Source organism: Homo sapiens, chromosome 3, assembly GCF_000001405.40.
Source record: "Homo sapiens chromosome 3, GRCh38.p14 Primary Assembly".
In the NCBI taxonomy this organism is placed as follows: Eukaryota; Metazoa; Chordata; class Mammalia; order Primates; family Hominidae; genus Homo; species Homo sapiens.
The window spans coordinates 6,754,540-6,771,113 of record NC_000003.12 but is presented as its reverse complement, the minus strand read 5'-3'; the positions used below and the strand labels follow the sequence as shown (position 1 = coordinate 6,771,113).

Genomic DNA, 16,574 nt, shown 5'->3' with positions numbered 1-16,574 from the left:
CAGCTTGTCTAGTAGACCGAATGCCGAAGCAGAGTCTCCAGAAAGGAGGGATAACTAATTTCTGACTTCTAAATATTGAACGCTGACAAATTTTCAAACTATATCCCATATCTTCTTATACTTTCACCTTTATATCTTCCCAGAAGTAGGGCCTTTGAAGAGAATGACAGTCAGAAAAGGGATTAAGTGGCACATTTTTTTCAGACGACTGATGCTCCTGTGAGTGAGAGACTATATAGTGCAATATAAATCAGCTGTTGGTTTGAGTGACGGGAAGGAGCTGGTCTTGTTTATATATCTTAGATATCAATAAAGTGGTCAAAAGGAGGCAATCGAAGTCAGTATTAGAGTAATAATATACTTGCACAGTCTCGTCTCCAGCCTCATGCTATGTGCTTGCCTTTTCACAAAAACAAATAGGAAAACAAACCACAAATAAAAGCTCTGAAATTAAAGTCTCCCACATTTCTTCCCTTCTCAGCCATCAATCCTTTCCCCAGCCCTCACATTAGGAGCCCTGGGAAGACATCCAGGGACCTAACAAAGGAACCAGGAGGAGTTTTACATTTAAGGCAGACAACTATAAAATCACTGAAAAGGTTGAAACAGAACCATTCAAGAGAGGGCCAGACTCAACCACAGAGAAATCCTCATTTTAGTTTTCACAGAAACTTGCATTGAGGTAAGAAAGAATGAAAGACACAGAGAGAGAAAAGGTATGCATATTTCTTTGATACCCTAAACTTACTCCCCGAGGCTAGATAACGAGGGTAGAAATTGTGGCTGAGAACTATGACCCATTAAACTGTATAGCAATAAAAACTGGAAAACTGCCCAGAACAATGTGTCCTAATCTTTGGGTTTACCAGTAACACTTTCTTTGTTTTGCCTTTTTAATGTATTGTCTACATAATCACTTTTTTTTAAATTGAGCTCATCTTTCTTACTGAATTGATTTAAATAAATATATTTAAAGAAAGACACTGCATACTTACGGGGGAGGAGCCAAGATGGCCGAATACGGGTGATTTCTGCATTTCCATCTGAGGTACCGGGTTCATCTCACTAGGGAGCGCCAGACAGTGGGCGCAGGTCAGTGGGTGCGCGCACCGTGCACGAGCGGAAGCAGGGCGAGGCATTCCCTCACTCGGGAAGCGCAAGGGGTCAGGGAGTTCCCTTTCCGAGTCAAAGAAAGGGGTGACGGATGCACGTGGAAAATCGGGTCACTCCCACCCGAATACTGCGCTTTTCCAACGGGCTTAAAAAACGGCACACCAGGAGACTATCTCCCGCACCTGGCTCGGAGGGTCCTACCCCACGGAGTCTCGCTGATTGCTAGCACAGCAGTCTGAGATCAAACTGCAAGGCGGCAGCGAGGCTGGGGGAGGGGCGCCCGCCATTGCCCAGGCTTGATTAGGTAAACAAAGCAGCCTGGAAGCTCCAACTGGGTGGAGCCCACCACAGTTCAAGGAGGCCTGCCTGCCTCTGTAGGCTCCACCTCTGGGAGCAGGGCACAGACAAACAAAAAGACAGCAGTAACCTCTGCAGACTTAAATGTCCCTGTCTGACAGCTTTGAAGAGAGCAGTGGTTCTCCCAGCACGCAGCTGGAGATCTGAGAACGGGCAGACTGCCTCCTCAAGTGGGTCCCTGACCCCTGACCCCCGAGCAGCCTAACTGGGAGGCACCTGCCAACAGGGGCACACTGACACCTCACACGGCAGGGTACTCCAACAGACCTGCAGCTGAGGGTCCTGTCTGTTAGAAGGAAAACTAACAAACAGAAAGGACATCCACACCAAAAACCCATCTGTACATCACCATCATCAAAGACCAAAAGTAGATAAAACCACAAAGATGGGGAAAAAACAGAACAGAAAAACTGGAAACTCTAAAAAGCAGAGTGCCTCTCCTCCTCCAAAGGAACGCAGTTCCTCACCAGCAACGGAACAAAGCTGGATGGAGAATGACTTTGACGAGGTGAGAGAAGAAGGCTTCAGATGATCAAATTACTCCGAGCTACGGGAGGACATTCAAACCAAAGGCAAAGAAGTTGAAAACTTTGAAAAAAATTTAGAAGAATGTATAACTAGAATAACCAATACAGAGAAGTGCTTAAAGGAGCTGATGGAGCTGAAAACCAAGGCTCGAGAACTACATGAAGAATGCAGAAGCCTCAGGAGCCAATGTGATCAACTGGAAGAAAGGGTATCAGTGATGGAAGATGAAATGAATGAAATGAAGTGAGAAGGGAAGTTTAGAGAAAAAAGAATAAAAAGAAATAAGCAAAGCCTCCAAGAAATATGGGACTATGTGAAAAGACCAAATCTACGTCTGATTGGTGTACCTGGAAGTGAAGGGGAGAATGGAACCAAGTTGGAAAACACTCTGCAGGATATCATCCAGGAGAACTTCCCCAATATAGCAAGGCAGGCCAACATTCAGATTCAGGAAATACAGAGAATGCCACAAAGATACTCCTCGAGAAGAGCAACTCCAAGACACATAATTGTCAGATTCACCAAAGTTGAAATGAAGGAAAAAATGTTAAGGGCAGCCAGAGAGAAAGGTCAGGTTACCCTCAAAGGGAAGCTCATCAGACTAACAGCGGATCTCTCGGCAGAAATTCTACAAGCCAGAAGAGAGTGGGGGCCAATATTCAACATTGTTAAAGAAAAGAATTTTCAACCCAGAATTTCATATTCAGCCAAAGTAAGCTTCATAAGTGAAGGAGAAATAAAGTACTTTACAGACAAGCAAATGCTGAGAGATTTTGTTACCACCAGGCCTGCCCTAAAAGAGCTCCTGAAGGAAGTGCTAAACATGGAAAGGCACAACCGGTACCAGCTGCTGCAAAATCATGCCAAAATGTAAAGACCATCGAGACTAGGAAGAAACTGCATCAACTAATGAGCAAAATAACCAGCTAACATCATAATGACAGGAACAAATTCACACATAACAATATTAACTTTAAATGTAAATGGACTAAATGCTCCAATTAAAAGACACAGACTGGCAAATTGGATAAAGAGTCAAGACCCATCAGTGTGCTGTATTCAGGAAACCCATCTCACGTGCAGAGACACACATAGGCTCAAAATAAAAGGATGGAGGAAGATCTACCAAGCCAATGGAAAACAAAAAAAGGCAGGGGTTGCAATCCTAGTCTCTGATAAAACAGACTTTAAACCAAGAAAGGTCAAAAGAGACAAAGAAGGCCATTGCATAATGGTAAAGGGATCCATTCAACAAGAAGAGCTAACTATCCTAAATATATATGCACCCAATACAGGAGCACCCAGATTCATAAAGCAAGTCCTGAGTGACCTACAAAGAGACTTAGACTCCCACACATTAATAATGGGAGACTTTAACACCCCACTGTTAACATTAGACAGATCAACGAGACAGAAAGTCAACACGGATACCCAGGAATTGAACTCAACTATGCACCAAGTGGACCTAATAGACATCTACAGAACTCTCCACCACAAATCAACAGAATATACATTTTTTTTCAGCACCACACCACACCGATTCCAAAATTGGCCACATAGTTGGAAGTAAAGCTCTCCTCAGCAAATGTAAAAGAACAGAAATTATAACAAACTATCTCTTAGACCACAGTGCAATCAAACTAGAACTCAGGATCAAGTATCTCACTCAAAACTGCTCAACTACATGGAAACTGAACAACCTGCTCCTGAATGACTACTGGGTACATAACGAAATGAAGGCAGAAATAAAGATGTTCTTTGAAACCAATAAGAACAAAGACACAGCATACCAGAATCTCTGGGACTCATTCAAAGCAGTGTGTAGAGGGAAATTTATAGCACTAAATGCCCACAAGAGAAAGCAGGAAAGATCCAAAATTGACACCCTAACATCACAACTAAAAGAACTAGAAAAGCAAGAGCAAACACATTCAAAAGCTAGCAGAAGGCAAGAAATAACTAAAATCAGAGCAGAACTGAAGGAAATAGAGACACAAAAAACCCTTCAAAAAATCAATGAATCCAGGAGCTGGTTTTTTGAAAGGATCAACAAAATTGATAGACTGCTAGCAAGACTAATAAAGAAGAAAAGAGAGAAGAATCAAATAGATGCAATAAAAATGACAAAGGGGATATCACCACAAATCCCACAGAAATACAAACTACCATCAGAGAATACTACAAACACCTCTACACAAATAAACTAGAAAATCTAGAAGAAATGGATAAATTCCTCGACACATACACTCTCCCAAGACTAAACCAGGAAGAAGTTGAATCTCTGAATAGACCAATAACAGGATCTGAAATTGTGGCAGTAATCAATAGCTTACCAACCAAAAAGAGTCCAGGACCAGAAGGATTCACAGCCGAATTCTACCAGAGGTACAAGGAGGAACTGGTACCATTCCTTCTGAAACTATTCCAATCAATAGAAAAAGAGGGAATCCTCCCTAACTCATTTTATGAGGCCAGCATCATCCTGATACCAAAGCCGGGCAGAGACACAACCAAAACAGAGAATTTTAGACCAATATCCTTGATGAACATTGATGCAAAAATCCTCTATTAAATACTGGCAAACTGAATCCAGCAGCACATCAAAAAGCTTATCCACCATGATCAAGTGGGCTTCATCCCTGGGATGCAAGGCTGGTTCAATGTACACAAATCAATAAATGTAATCCAGCATATAAACAGAACCAAAGACAAAAACCACATGATTATCTCAATAGATGCAGAAAAGGCTTTTGACAAAATTCAACAACCCTTCATGCTAAAAAACTCTCAATAAATTAGGTATTGATGGAAAGTATCTCAAAATAATAAGAGCTATCTATGACAAACCCACAGCCAATATCATACTGAATGGGCAAAAACTGGAAGCATTCCCTTTGAAAACTGGCACAAGACAGGGATGCCCTCTCTCACCACTCCTATTCAACATAGTGTTGGAAGTTCTGGCCAGGTCAATCAGGCAGGAGAAAGAAATAAAGGGTATTCGATTAGGAAAAGAGGAAGTCAAATTGTCCCTGTTTGCAGATGACATGACCATATATCTAGAAAACCCCATTGTCTCAGCCCAAAATCTCCTTAAGCTGATAAGCAACTTCAGCAAAGTCTCAGGATACAAAATCAATGTACAAAAATCACAAGCATTCTTATACACCAACAACAGACAAACAGAGAGCCAAATCATGAATGAACCCATTCACAATTGCTTCAAAGAGAATAAAATACCTAGGAATCCAACTTACAAGGGATGTGAAGGACCTCTTCAAGGAGAACTACAAACCACTGCTCAAAGAAATAAAAGAGGATACAAACAAATGGAAGAACATTCCATGCTCATGGGTAGAAAGAATCGATATCATGAAAATGGCCATACTGCCCAAGGTAATTTACAGATTCAATGCCATCCCCATCAAGCTACCAATCACTTTCTTCACAGAATTGGAACATAGTACTTTAAAGTTCATATGGAACCAAAAAAGAGCCCGCATCACCAAGTCAATCCTAAGCCAAAAAAACAAAGCTGGAGGCATCACACTATCTGACTTCAAACTATACTACAAGGCTACAGTAACCAAAACAGCATGGTACTGGTACCAAAACAGAGATATAGATCAATGGAACAGAACAGAGCCCTCAGAAATAACGCCGCATATCTACATCTATCTGATCTTTGACAAACCTGAGAAAAACAAGCAATGGGGAAAGGATTCCCTATTTAATAAATGGTGCTGGGAAAACTGGCTAGCCATATATAGAAAGCTGAAACTGGATCCCTTCCTTACACCTTATACAAAAATTAATTCAAGATGGATTAAAGACTTAAACGTTAGACCTAAAACCATAAAAACCCTAGAAGAAAACCTAGGCATTACCATTCAGGACATAGGCGTGGGCAAGGACTTCATGTCTAAAACACCAAAAGCAATGGCAACAAAAGCCAAAATTGACAAATGGGATCTAATTAAATTAAAGAGCTTCTGCACAGCAAAAGAAACTACCATCAGAGTGAACAGGCAACCTACAAAATGGGAGAAAATTTTCGCAACCTACTCATCTGAGAAAGGGCTAGTATCGAGAATCTACAATGAACTCCAACAAATTTACAAGAAAAAAACAACCCCATCAAAAAGTGGGTGAAGGACATGAACAGACACTTCTCAAAAGAAGACATTTATGCAGCCAATAAACACATGAAAAAATGCTCACCATCACTGGCCATCAGAGAAATGCAAATCAAAACCACAATGAGATACCATCTCACACCAGTTAGAATGGCAATCATTAAAAAGTCAGGAAACAACAGGTGCTGGAGAGGATGTGGAGAAATAGGAACACTTTTACACTGTTGGTGGGACTGTAAACTAGTTCAACCATTGTGGAAGTCAGTGTGGCGATTCCTCAGGGATCTAGAACTGGAAATACCATTTGACCCAGCCATCCCATTACTGGGTATATACCCAAGGGACTATAAATCATGCTGCTATAAAGACACATGCACACGTATGTTTATTGTGGCATTATTCACAATAGGAAAGACTTGGAACCAACCGAAATGTCCAACAATGATAGACTGGATTAAGAAAATGTGGCACATATAAACCATGGAATACTATGCAGCCATGAGAAATGATGAGTTCACCTCCTTTGTAGGGACATGGATGAAATTGGAAATCACCATTCTCCATAAACTATCGCAAGAACAAAAAACCAAACACCACATATGCTCACTCATAGGTGAGAATTGAACAATGAGAACACATGGACACAGGAAGGGGAGACATCACACTCTGGGGACTGTTGTGGGGTGGGGGGAGGGGGGAGGGATAGCATTGGGAGATATACCTAATGCTAGATGACGAGTTAGTGGGTGCAGCACACCAGCATGGCACATGTATACATATGTAACTAACCTGCACATTGTGCACATGTACCCTAAAACTTGAAGTATAATAATAAAAAAAAAAGATATACTTAAAAAAAAAGAAAGACACGGTATCATTACTATAAAAGCAAAACCTATACAGCTGGCATAAATTAAAGATAACTTCCAAAGTGATGTCATTGAAAGGAAAATGGTACTAGGAGAGGCTACCTCACACAAAAGGCTGGAAACTGCAGGTTTGTTATTAAAAAAGAGGTGAGCATGTATTACAGAAGTGCTGAAGACCTGAATGGTAGGACCAGACCGACACTATCCCCTCCCAACAATGATGTGCTGTTCCACGTTTAACAGCTATGTGAGACAAAGAGTCTGACTTGCAGAAATTTCTGATTTCTGTCTGTAGATCTTTCCACCATGGATAATTTCAGGCTATCGAGGTAACATCACTGGATATGGTTGGGAGGAGATGCAAACAGCCTCCTCTTGTAAGCATCTAAGGGGCAACCCAGCACACAACTGCTTTTTTTTTTTTTGACTTTTATTTTAAGTTCAGGGATACACGTGCAAGTTTGTTACACAGGCAAACTTGTGTCATAGGGTTTCTTGTACAGATTATTTCATGACCCAGGTATTAAGCCTAGTACCCATTTGTTATTTTTCCTGATCCTCTCCCTTGTCTTTTAAGTAATTAGAAGTACTGAAAGAATTGAAACAAGAAAACTTTTCTTATTATGTGTTTCTAGGTAATTAATTCCACCTTAGTGTTATACTCAAAACCATATTCATTTATCAGCAGTGCTACATGTCCCCCCTTTTGGAAAACGTAAGTCTTAGGCAACCTCCTAGGATATCTTTTTTTTTCTTTTCTTTTTTTTTTTTTTACACGGAAGCACTTTAGTAGATAAAATCATGTTATGAGGATGGTAATATTTTTCTATTTTGAAGCATGATTTCTCTGGTACAGTTGTATGTACATGATGCCTGCCTCACCTTCTATGAGATACCAAATTGGATCTATCTGTAGAGAGTACATAAAGAATAACACAGGAATACTGTAAGAATAAGCATCCATTTCATCTTTGTGAAATACAAAGTGAACACAAATTAGAAGAGAAAATAATGCTAATATCCTTAATCTAAACTCTTTTTCTATGGGAAGGAAAAAGGGGGTTGTTCTCCGAATTGTTTAGAAATTTTTAACATGGCAGCATGAAACGAAGTTTTCAGAAGAATAACGTGTATCAAAATCCCTGCATATATTTTGCATCCTCTTTAGATTTCCTTGTACCCTTCCGGCTACTCTTCCTATTGTTTACAGACAGAAAGTAAATTTTAAGAGAGTTTTGTTTATTTTTCGATGAATCCTGATGGCATTTTTAGGCAGCAGAGATACTGGCACCAAATGACACAGCTGAGAATAATGAAGCTCTTACAGTAAATCAAAAGGCTCATGATTTCATCTCAACAATGCAGATTCAGCAACTGAAACCTTGAAAGCATCTATATGGAATACAAATGCGTAAAAGCAGAGATGGAAAATGTGGTGAATCTCTTTAGAATGCCACAGCAAATCAAATAAGAAAAAGAAAATTACGGGATTTTTAAGAATGTGCTGTTCTTTTCACGGATAAAGATTCAGTGGCATCCAGAAATGAGATGTGAACATTCAGAATATGTGGTGTGCAACTTTGTCCTGTCACTTCTATTCTATGAATTTATGTAGAGATTAAATTATTATAGCCTGCTTCAACTCCCAACCAGTTCCTCGGGAATAGAGGAGAAATTCAAGGGTGATTTAAGGGAGCATTTACATCGACGGAGAGAAGGCATAATTCGTCAGTGGAGACTCATGCTTCCTTATTCTTCAGACTGCTCAACTGAGCTGATATTTTAGCAAGTTGAAAGGCTTAGCTGTTTAAGGAGAAGTTCTGGATATAAAAAACTGGGGAAAGGGGCTGTGAGTAATGGCACTGCGCTGTTGCATGCTCATCTTCTTTTCTCCCTGCTATCCCTGTTCTCTCCTTTGGGGATAACGGCAAAAATCGCCTGTAAAGCTGGACTCCATGTGACCCATGGCTTCCCCCATCTTTCCACAAAATACAACGAATTATCCACTTTGACTTGATAATATTTCCCCACTAGATATTCCTTAAATTGCTTGCTTCCACTCTGTTCTCTAGCATTGTTCTTCTAGTTCAGACTTCATCATTTCTAGCTAAACTGATCCATCACTTTGTGACTGCAGTCTTCTCGACTGCAAACATCCAGAGTGACAGCTCAGCCAGCCAAGTCTGAGCACATCCTTCCCCTGCAGAGAATGAGAATATCCCCAAGTCATGATGACCGTCAAGTGCCTAAGGAGGGCATTCACAGCCACTGTGCTCTAGTCCCTGCCTGCTTCTCCACATTCATCTCTCGCCATTCTCTAGCCTGAACTGCACCCTGTGCAAGGCTGTTTCTTCTGCTTCTGTGTCCTTCCTGTCACTCTCTTGTTTGTAAGGCTCTACCTCCCTTCTCCCACTCTACCATACTTGATAATAAAAACAATAGCATGTCTTCCATCGATGACAGACTGGATAAAGAAAATGTGGCACATGTACACCATGGAATAGTATGCAGTGATATAAAGGAATGGAATCATGTCCTTTGCATGGACATGGATGGAGCTGGAAGCCATTATCCTCAGCAAACTAACACAGGAACAGAAAACCAAACACTGCATCTTCTCACTTATAAGTGGGAGTTGATCAATGAGAACACATAGACAATTGAGGGGAGCAACACACATTGGGGCCTGTCAGGGCGTGGGTGTCAGGAGGGAGAGCATTAGGAAAACTAGCTAATGCACGCTGGGCTTTATACCTAGTTGATGGGTTGACAGGTGCAGCAAACCACCATGGCACACGTTTACCCATGTAACAAACCTGCTCATCCTGCACATGTACCCTGGAACTTAACAAACAAACAAACAAACAAAAACCCAATAGCAGCTTGTTTTTATAAGCTGCTTACTAAACTCCAGGTACTGTTCTAATCATTTCATGTAATCCCCAATCCATCTTGACAGGCATGGACCATTATTATCACCATTTTAAACAGAGAAGTAAAGTAACTTGCCCATGGACATGGAGTTAGTAAGTTTTAGATTCTTGGACTCTAAACTAGCACTCCATCACCATGCCATACTCACTGTGTTTGCCCTACTTAAATTCAACCATCTCTTCAGACACAGAGTCACTGTCTCCAGCACCCTCTCCCCGCTCTCCTGACTGAGTTGGGTTATGTGTTCTTCCTTTGCTCATGTGAGTCTTTCTATAAATTTATTTGCCATATCGAATTGTAATGAACCATTCATATATCTCTCCACCCTGCTGGATTGTCAGCAGCCATGGCTGATTTGGTTTTATATCCCAATATCTGTTATCCAATAAATGTAAGTTGAATGTGAATGTAAATAAATATCTTACATTATAGCAAAATATCAGAGGCTTATAAGGCACTACAGAACATAATATTTATATGTAATTCTCACTATCTTTTATACAAATATCCCCATCATCACATAAACCCAGAGAGCTTAGGTCAATATTTGTTGAGTGAATGAAAATGTCCACGATGAAATGTTAAGGGAAACTACAATCTTTGTAGTAAATATTCAGACTGTTCTAAAAAGAGAGTATCAAATTAAATCAAAATAGACCAATGCTTCTGGGTTAGATACATCATGGATACAAATTAAATATCTGCAAGGTTTATTAACTGACCTATGCAAATGGACAGAGTTAAACAGTTGTGCTTCAAATATAAATAGGTACGTCAACGGGAAATGAGATTTGATGACTGCAGTTTAGGAAAAAAATTCATCTTGATCCAATATCTTAGCATAAACAGAGCAGCAAGTTAATGATAGAAGAACTGATTACTTTCAGATTTAATCTAAGTATTGTGGAAGCTTGTATGCAGTCAAACAATTCAATATATGTATCAGCCTCTAAAAAATTAAACTGTTCTAATATACAAAATAATGAAAAGGACAGTTTTGAGCCAATATTTCACACTAATTTTAAGTCAGTACAAACTGCATTTAGGAAGTACTTAGTACAATCATTTCACTTCCATTATTATTTTGTCTTCTTTTTTAAATGGATAATATGTGTACATGACATGCCATCAAAAATTATGAATGCACACATAGGGAAAGTAAGACTTTCCACTTGTTTGTTTTCCTGTTTCCTTCCCTATAGGCTAGCACTATTACCCATTTTGTGTGAATTTTTCCAGATATAGTCCTAACCAATACCAATGCACGAATAGTTACATAATCAAGCTGTATTATAATATTGAATTCAGTTTTCTATTATTGAACATTTGAAGTGTTTTAAGTATTGCAAACAATTTTTCAGTGATTGTTCTTGTATATATGTCTTTGTTTATACCTATTAAATACTAGAGTACCTGAAGAAAAAAATACCTAGGAGTAAATTTGCTAAATTAAAACATACCTACATTTTAAATTGTGGTGTGTGTTATCAAATTTGTAGTCAAGCTGACCTTTGCAAAAGTTTTGCAATTTAAACTGTCACAACAATAAAGGAGAGTTTTTTTCCTCTATATCTTCATTGATAAATGAAAAGTGATGTCTCAATGTAGTTTATATGTGTGTGTGTGTGAGTGTGTCTGTGTATCTATATATAAGTAGAGCTTAGCACCTTTTCAAATATTTAAAAGACAAATTTTAGTTTCTTATTTGTCTGTAAGCTTTGTTTACGCCTATTTTTTCCTGTTGGTTTGTTTTCTGATACATAAAAAGTTCTTTATACAGTAAAAATGAATAGCAGTCACACTTAAAGTACTTGTTGGAAGTATCTTTTTCTAGTTTGTTGTGTTGGCTTTTGACATTGTTTTTTTTCTATTCAAAATGCTTATGAAGTTATAAATTCTTAGCATGGTTTCTATGATTTGACCAATACTAAGAAAGGTCTGTATCTTCAAAAAAAGGCTTCCATGCTTTCCCCAGGAACATTCGTGTTTTCATTATTTCCATTTATATCTTTTCATGTTTTATCCAGTTTTCTCCATCAGATTTATCAAATAACCTATCCTTTCTTCCTTGATATGAGTTCCATTTTTGATATATAATGAATTCCCTGTGTAATTTGGGTCTATTTCTGGACTCTCTTGTGTTCCAACACTGTATTTGCCATTTAATTAGTTTGATAATATCTATAGTATGATTTGGAGAGTATATTCTCACCTCTTTCTACTCCTCTTTTGGAGATACTGGCCATAACTAGTTTTCCATATAATCTTTAGAATCTAAATCCCTTATTCCAGAGAGAAAATTATCCTTTCAACTGTTTTATCGGAATTGAATTAAATTCATAGAATAATTTAGGATGAGTTGAAATCTTCATTGTATAGAGTCTACCTATCCCAGATCAGTATGATTTTCCTTCTATTCAAGCACTTTTTAGGTGTCTTAACAACCTTCTACACTTTCTTCAATAAATATGTCTTCCAATATTTTTAGTTTATTCATAGGTATTCTATGTTTCTATTTGTATTTAAAATGGAGTCTCTTCTGTCGCTTGAAAATTTAGTTTTTTGTCTATAGCAAGGCCGTTAATTTTTGTTGTTGATTAATTTTGTTCCCAATCATGTCACTGTATTCTCTTGTTATAAGACGTCAAGATGATTTTCTTGAGTTTTTCAAGTATGTCATATCTTTTTCAAATAATGATAGCATTATTTCCCTCTTTCCCATTTTTATGCCACACTTATATTTGTGATAATGAACGTCCTTGTTTTCTTCCTAACTTCAATGAAAAGTTATAATATTGTATTTCTATTCATTCTGTCATCTTTTATGCTGTTTTCTGTTTTATTGCTCTATTTTTTCTGTGTTGTGTATATTTCTTTGCTTTTTTGTGTGTGGGTTGGGTATCTTACTACCATTCTGGAAACTTTTGTTTCTGTTTTGGGTCATTTTCGTATTTGATTCTATATCTATAACATGATTTAGTGTACTTATCTCCTATTTTGTAGACACTAGAACAATGATGTATTGATACATCTCCAATTCATTCATTTTCTCCAATATGGCTTAGTAGATACTACTATTAGTTCTACTTGTACTTGTTTCACACCTTAAAATATATCCAAACCTCAGTTGTTTGAACTATCAGCTATAAGTGAGGCTTTTAGACTTCTGATTATAAAACATGAAATAATCAATATTCTTACACAACTGCCTAATTTCTTGCCAACTTTTATTAGTTACATTGTTTCTCCGTTGTCATTCCATTCACATTGTACTAATGAAGCTGTGATTCCAAGAGTTCTTTTTTCCTTACTTTTAAAGTCAAATGGAGTTTAGGTTCACCTTTGTCCTTGTGCTACAGTGTTTCTATTCAACAGGTGTTCAACTGAGATTTATTTTTTTAAACAATTTCTTCAAGTTGGCTTTAGAGGAAATATATTCTCCTAGTGCTTGCATGATCAAAAATGCCTGCTGTTGCCTTTCTATTTCAGCAATTTGTCTAGGTGTGTATAACATTTTTGCTCACACTTTATTTCCTGGAGGACTGTGCATTTATCTCTCCACTGATTTCTGATGATGTATATTGTTGTGAATGCTAAGGCCAGCCTGATATATTTCTCGTACAAGTTTTTGATCTTTCTGTCTGGATGTTCAAAGAATTATATTTTTAAAAATCATAACTTTACTGGGTTGTATTTCAGTAATTTTTAAACTGTGTTTTTATTGACAGATAATAATTGTACATATGCATGAGGTACAGTGGGATGTATATATTATGGAAAAATCAAATCAAGGTATTTACCACACCCATCACCTCATACCTTGTCATTTTTTTGTGATGAGAGCATTCAAAATCGTCTCTTCTACCTATTTTGAAATATAGAGATACAGAATACTATATATATACACACACATATATATATATATATATTTTTTTTTTTGAGACAAAGTCTCACTCTGTTGCCCAGCCGGAGTGCAGTGGTGCAATTTCAGCTACTGCAACTTCCGCCTTCCAGGTTCAAGCAAGTCTCCTGCCTCAGCCTCCCAAGTAGCTGGGATTACAGGCGCCTGCCACCAGGCCCGGCTAATTTTTTGTATTTTTAGTAGAGGCGGGGTTTCGCCATGTTTGCCAGGCTGGTCTCAAACTCCTGACCTCAGGTAATCCACCCACCTCAGCCTCCCAAAGTGCTGGGATTACAGGTATGAGCCACCACACCCGGCCACAATATTGTTAATCATAGTCATCCTACTGTGCAATAGAACACCAGAACATATTCTATCTATCTACCCATAAATTTGTACCCGTTGACCAATCTCTCCCTATTCCCCCTTCTCTCTCCCTTCCCCAGCCCTTGGTGACTATTATTCTAGTCTTTACTACTATGAGACTTACGTCTTTAGATTCTGCACATAGGTGAGATCATGCGGTATTTGTCTTTCTGTATCTGGCTTATTTCACTTAGCATAACATTGTCCGGTTTCATTCATGTTACTGCAAATGACAGAACTTCATTATTTTTATTGACCAAATATTATAGTAGCCCATTGTGTATATATACCACATTTACTTTATTCATTCACCCTTTAATGAACACTTAGATTGCTACCATATATTGGCCATTGTGAATACTGCTGCAATAAACATGGGAAAACAAATATGTCTTTGAGATGCTGATTCTATTCTCTTTGGCTATATACCTAGTAACAGGATTACTGGATCACATGATAGTTCTATTTTGAATTTTTTTGAGGACTCTCCTTATTATTTTCCTTAGTGGCTGTACTAATTTACATTCCCACTAACAGCATGTAAGAGTTTCACTTTCTCCACATCTGCACCAGCATTTGTTATTGTTTGTCTTTTTGGTGATAGCCATTCTAACAAGTGTGAGGTGGTATCTCATTGTGGTTTTGATTTTGCTAATGATTTGTGATATTGAACATTTTTTCATATACTTATTGGCCATTCGTATGTCTTCTTTTGAGAAATGTCTATTCAGGTTTGTTTTTTTGTTTTTTTGTTTTTTTTTTTTCCCACAGTCTTGCTCTGTCACCCAGGCTGGAGTTCAGTGGCACAATCTGGGCTCACTGCAACCTCCACCTCCTGGGTTTAAACGATTCTCCTGCCTCAGCCTTCCAAGTAGCTGGGATTACAAGCATGCACCACCATGCTCAGCTAATTTGTATTTTTAGAAGATACTAGGTTTCACCATGTTGGCCAGGCTGGTCCCAAACTCCTGACCTCAAGTGATCTCGGCTTCTTAAAGTACTGGGATTGCAGGCGTGAGCCACTGAGCCAGGCTATTCAAGTCTTTTGCCCATTTTTAAATATAATTATTTTTGTTTTGCTATTGGGTTGTTTCAGTTCCCTATCCATTCTGGTTATTAACTTCTTGATGCATAGTTTGCAAATATTTTCTTCCATTTTGTGGTTGTCTTTTCACTCTGTTGTCTGTTTGCTTTGCTGTGCAGAAGTTGTTTGATGTAATCTCATCTGCCTATTTTTGCTTTTGTTGCTTATACTTTCAAGGTCTTTTCCAAATTGCCCAGGCCAATATGAAGCATTTACCCTAGGTTTACTTCAAGTAGTTTCATTGTTTTGAACCTTACATTTCTGTCCGGAATCCATTTAGAGCTGAGTTTTGTGTGAGTTTGTTGAGAGATAGGAATCTAGCTTTGTTCTTCTACATGAAGATATCCACTTTTCAAGGCACTGTTTATTGAAGAGACTGTACTTTCTACTGTGTATTCTTGGCAACTTTGTCAAAAATCAGTTGGCTTCTAGATTTGTTTCTGTGCTCTCTATTCTGTTCCTTTGGTCTATTTGTCTATCTTTTAAGCCAGTACCATGCTGTTTTCTTTACTATAGCTTTAGTGTATATTTTGAATTCAGGTAATGTGATGCTTCTAGCTTTGTTGTTTTTGTTCAAGGTTTCTTTGGCTATTTGGGATCTTTTATAACTCCATGTCAATTTTAGGATTTGTTTTACTATATCTGTGAAGAATGTCATTGGTATTTTGATAAGGATTGCATTGAATCTGTAGATAGCTTTTGGTAGTATGGACATTTAAACAATGTTATTTTATCCCATGAGCATAGACTATCTTTCCATTTACTTGTGTCTTCTTTAGTTTCTTTTATCAATGTTTTACAGACATCAGTGTAGACTTCTTTCACCTCCATGGTTAAATTTTCAGGATCTATCCATTTTTTTCCTCTAACCCTACTTAATTCATTATTAGTTTCTAGTGTATGTGTTAATTTTATTCAATCTGTCCTGTTCTCCATATTTTTATTTTGTTTTAAACAGTCCCTGAAGTTACTTGTTTTTGCTTTTTTCTAATATAGTCTTCACTTATACTATGGTTTTATTTTTGTCTTTCACTGCTTTACTGGGCTCTGTCTGCCAATTTAATTTTCATCTGTTTCCATTGAAACATATTTCTAATGTCTTACCTGGCCCATATCTCTGTGAACTCTTATTTCTTTAAATTTAGGAACTCTTTTTAAAAAAATTTAAGATTGTTTTTTAAAATTACTTAAATCCATGAAAATGCATTTGGACACGAGATTCTCTGGCCCTGGTAATATTTTTCTGATGTGTAGTCTCTGACTTTTGTTTTTCTGGTTCTAGTCCT

General features: G+C 38.0%; 1 long non-coding RNA gene across 2 annotated transcripts in view, besides 2 other annotated features; it reads left to right on the top strand.

The window, feature by feature from the left end:
• Positions 1-16,574, top strand: part of GRM7-AS3 (GRM7 antisense RNA 3) — a 173,092-nt gene that overhangs the window by 34,336 nt on the left and 122,182 nt on the right. The gene's annotated exons all lie outside the window — the stretch shown is intronic.
• Positions 664-1,270: an enhancer, noted in NCBI's record as "OCT4-NANOG-H3K27ac-H3K4me1 hESC enhancer chr3:6811531-6812137 (GRCh37/hg19 assembly coordinates)". NCBI's record gives its function as "activates a minimal SCP1, AML or CMV promoter by ChIP-STARR-seq in primed H9 embryonic stem cells {active_cell/tissue: H9 hESC(primed)}" and the evidence as "EXISTENCE:reporter gene assay evidence [ECO:0000049][PMID:30033119]".
• Positions 1,271-1,878: an enhancer, noted in NCBI's record as "OCT4-NANOG-H3K27ac-H3K4me1 hESC enhancer chr3:6810923-6811530 (GRCh37/hg19 assembly coordinates)". NCBI's record gives its function as "activates a minimal SCP1, AML or CMV promoter by ChIP-STARR-seq in primed H9 embryonic stem cells {active_cell/tissue: H9 hESC(primed)}" and the evidence as "EXISTENCE:reporter gene assay evidence [ECO:0000049][PMID:30033119]".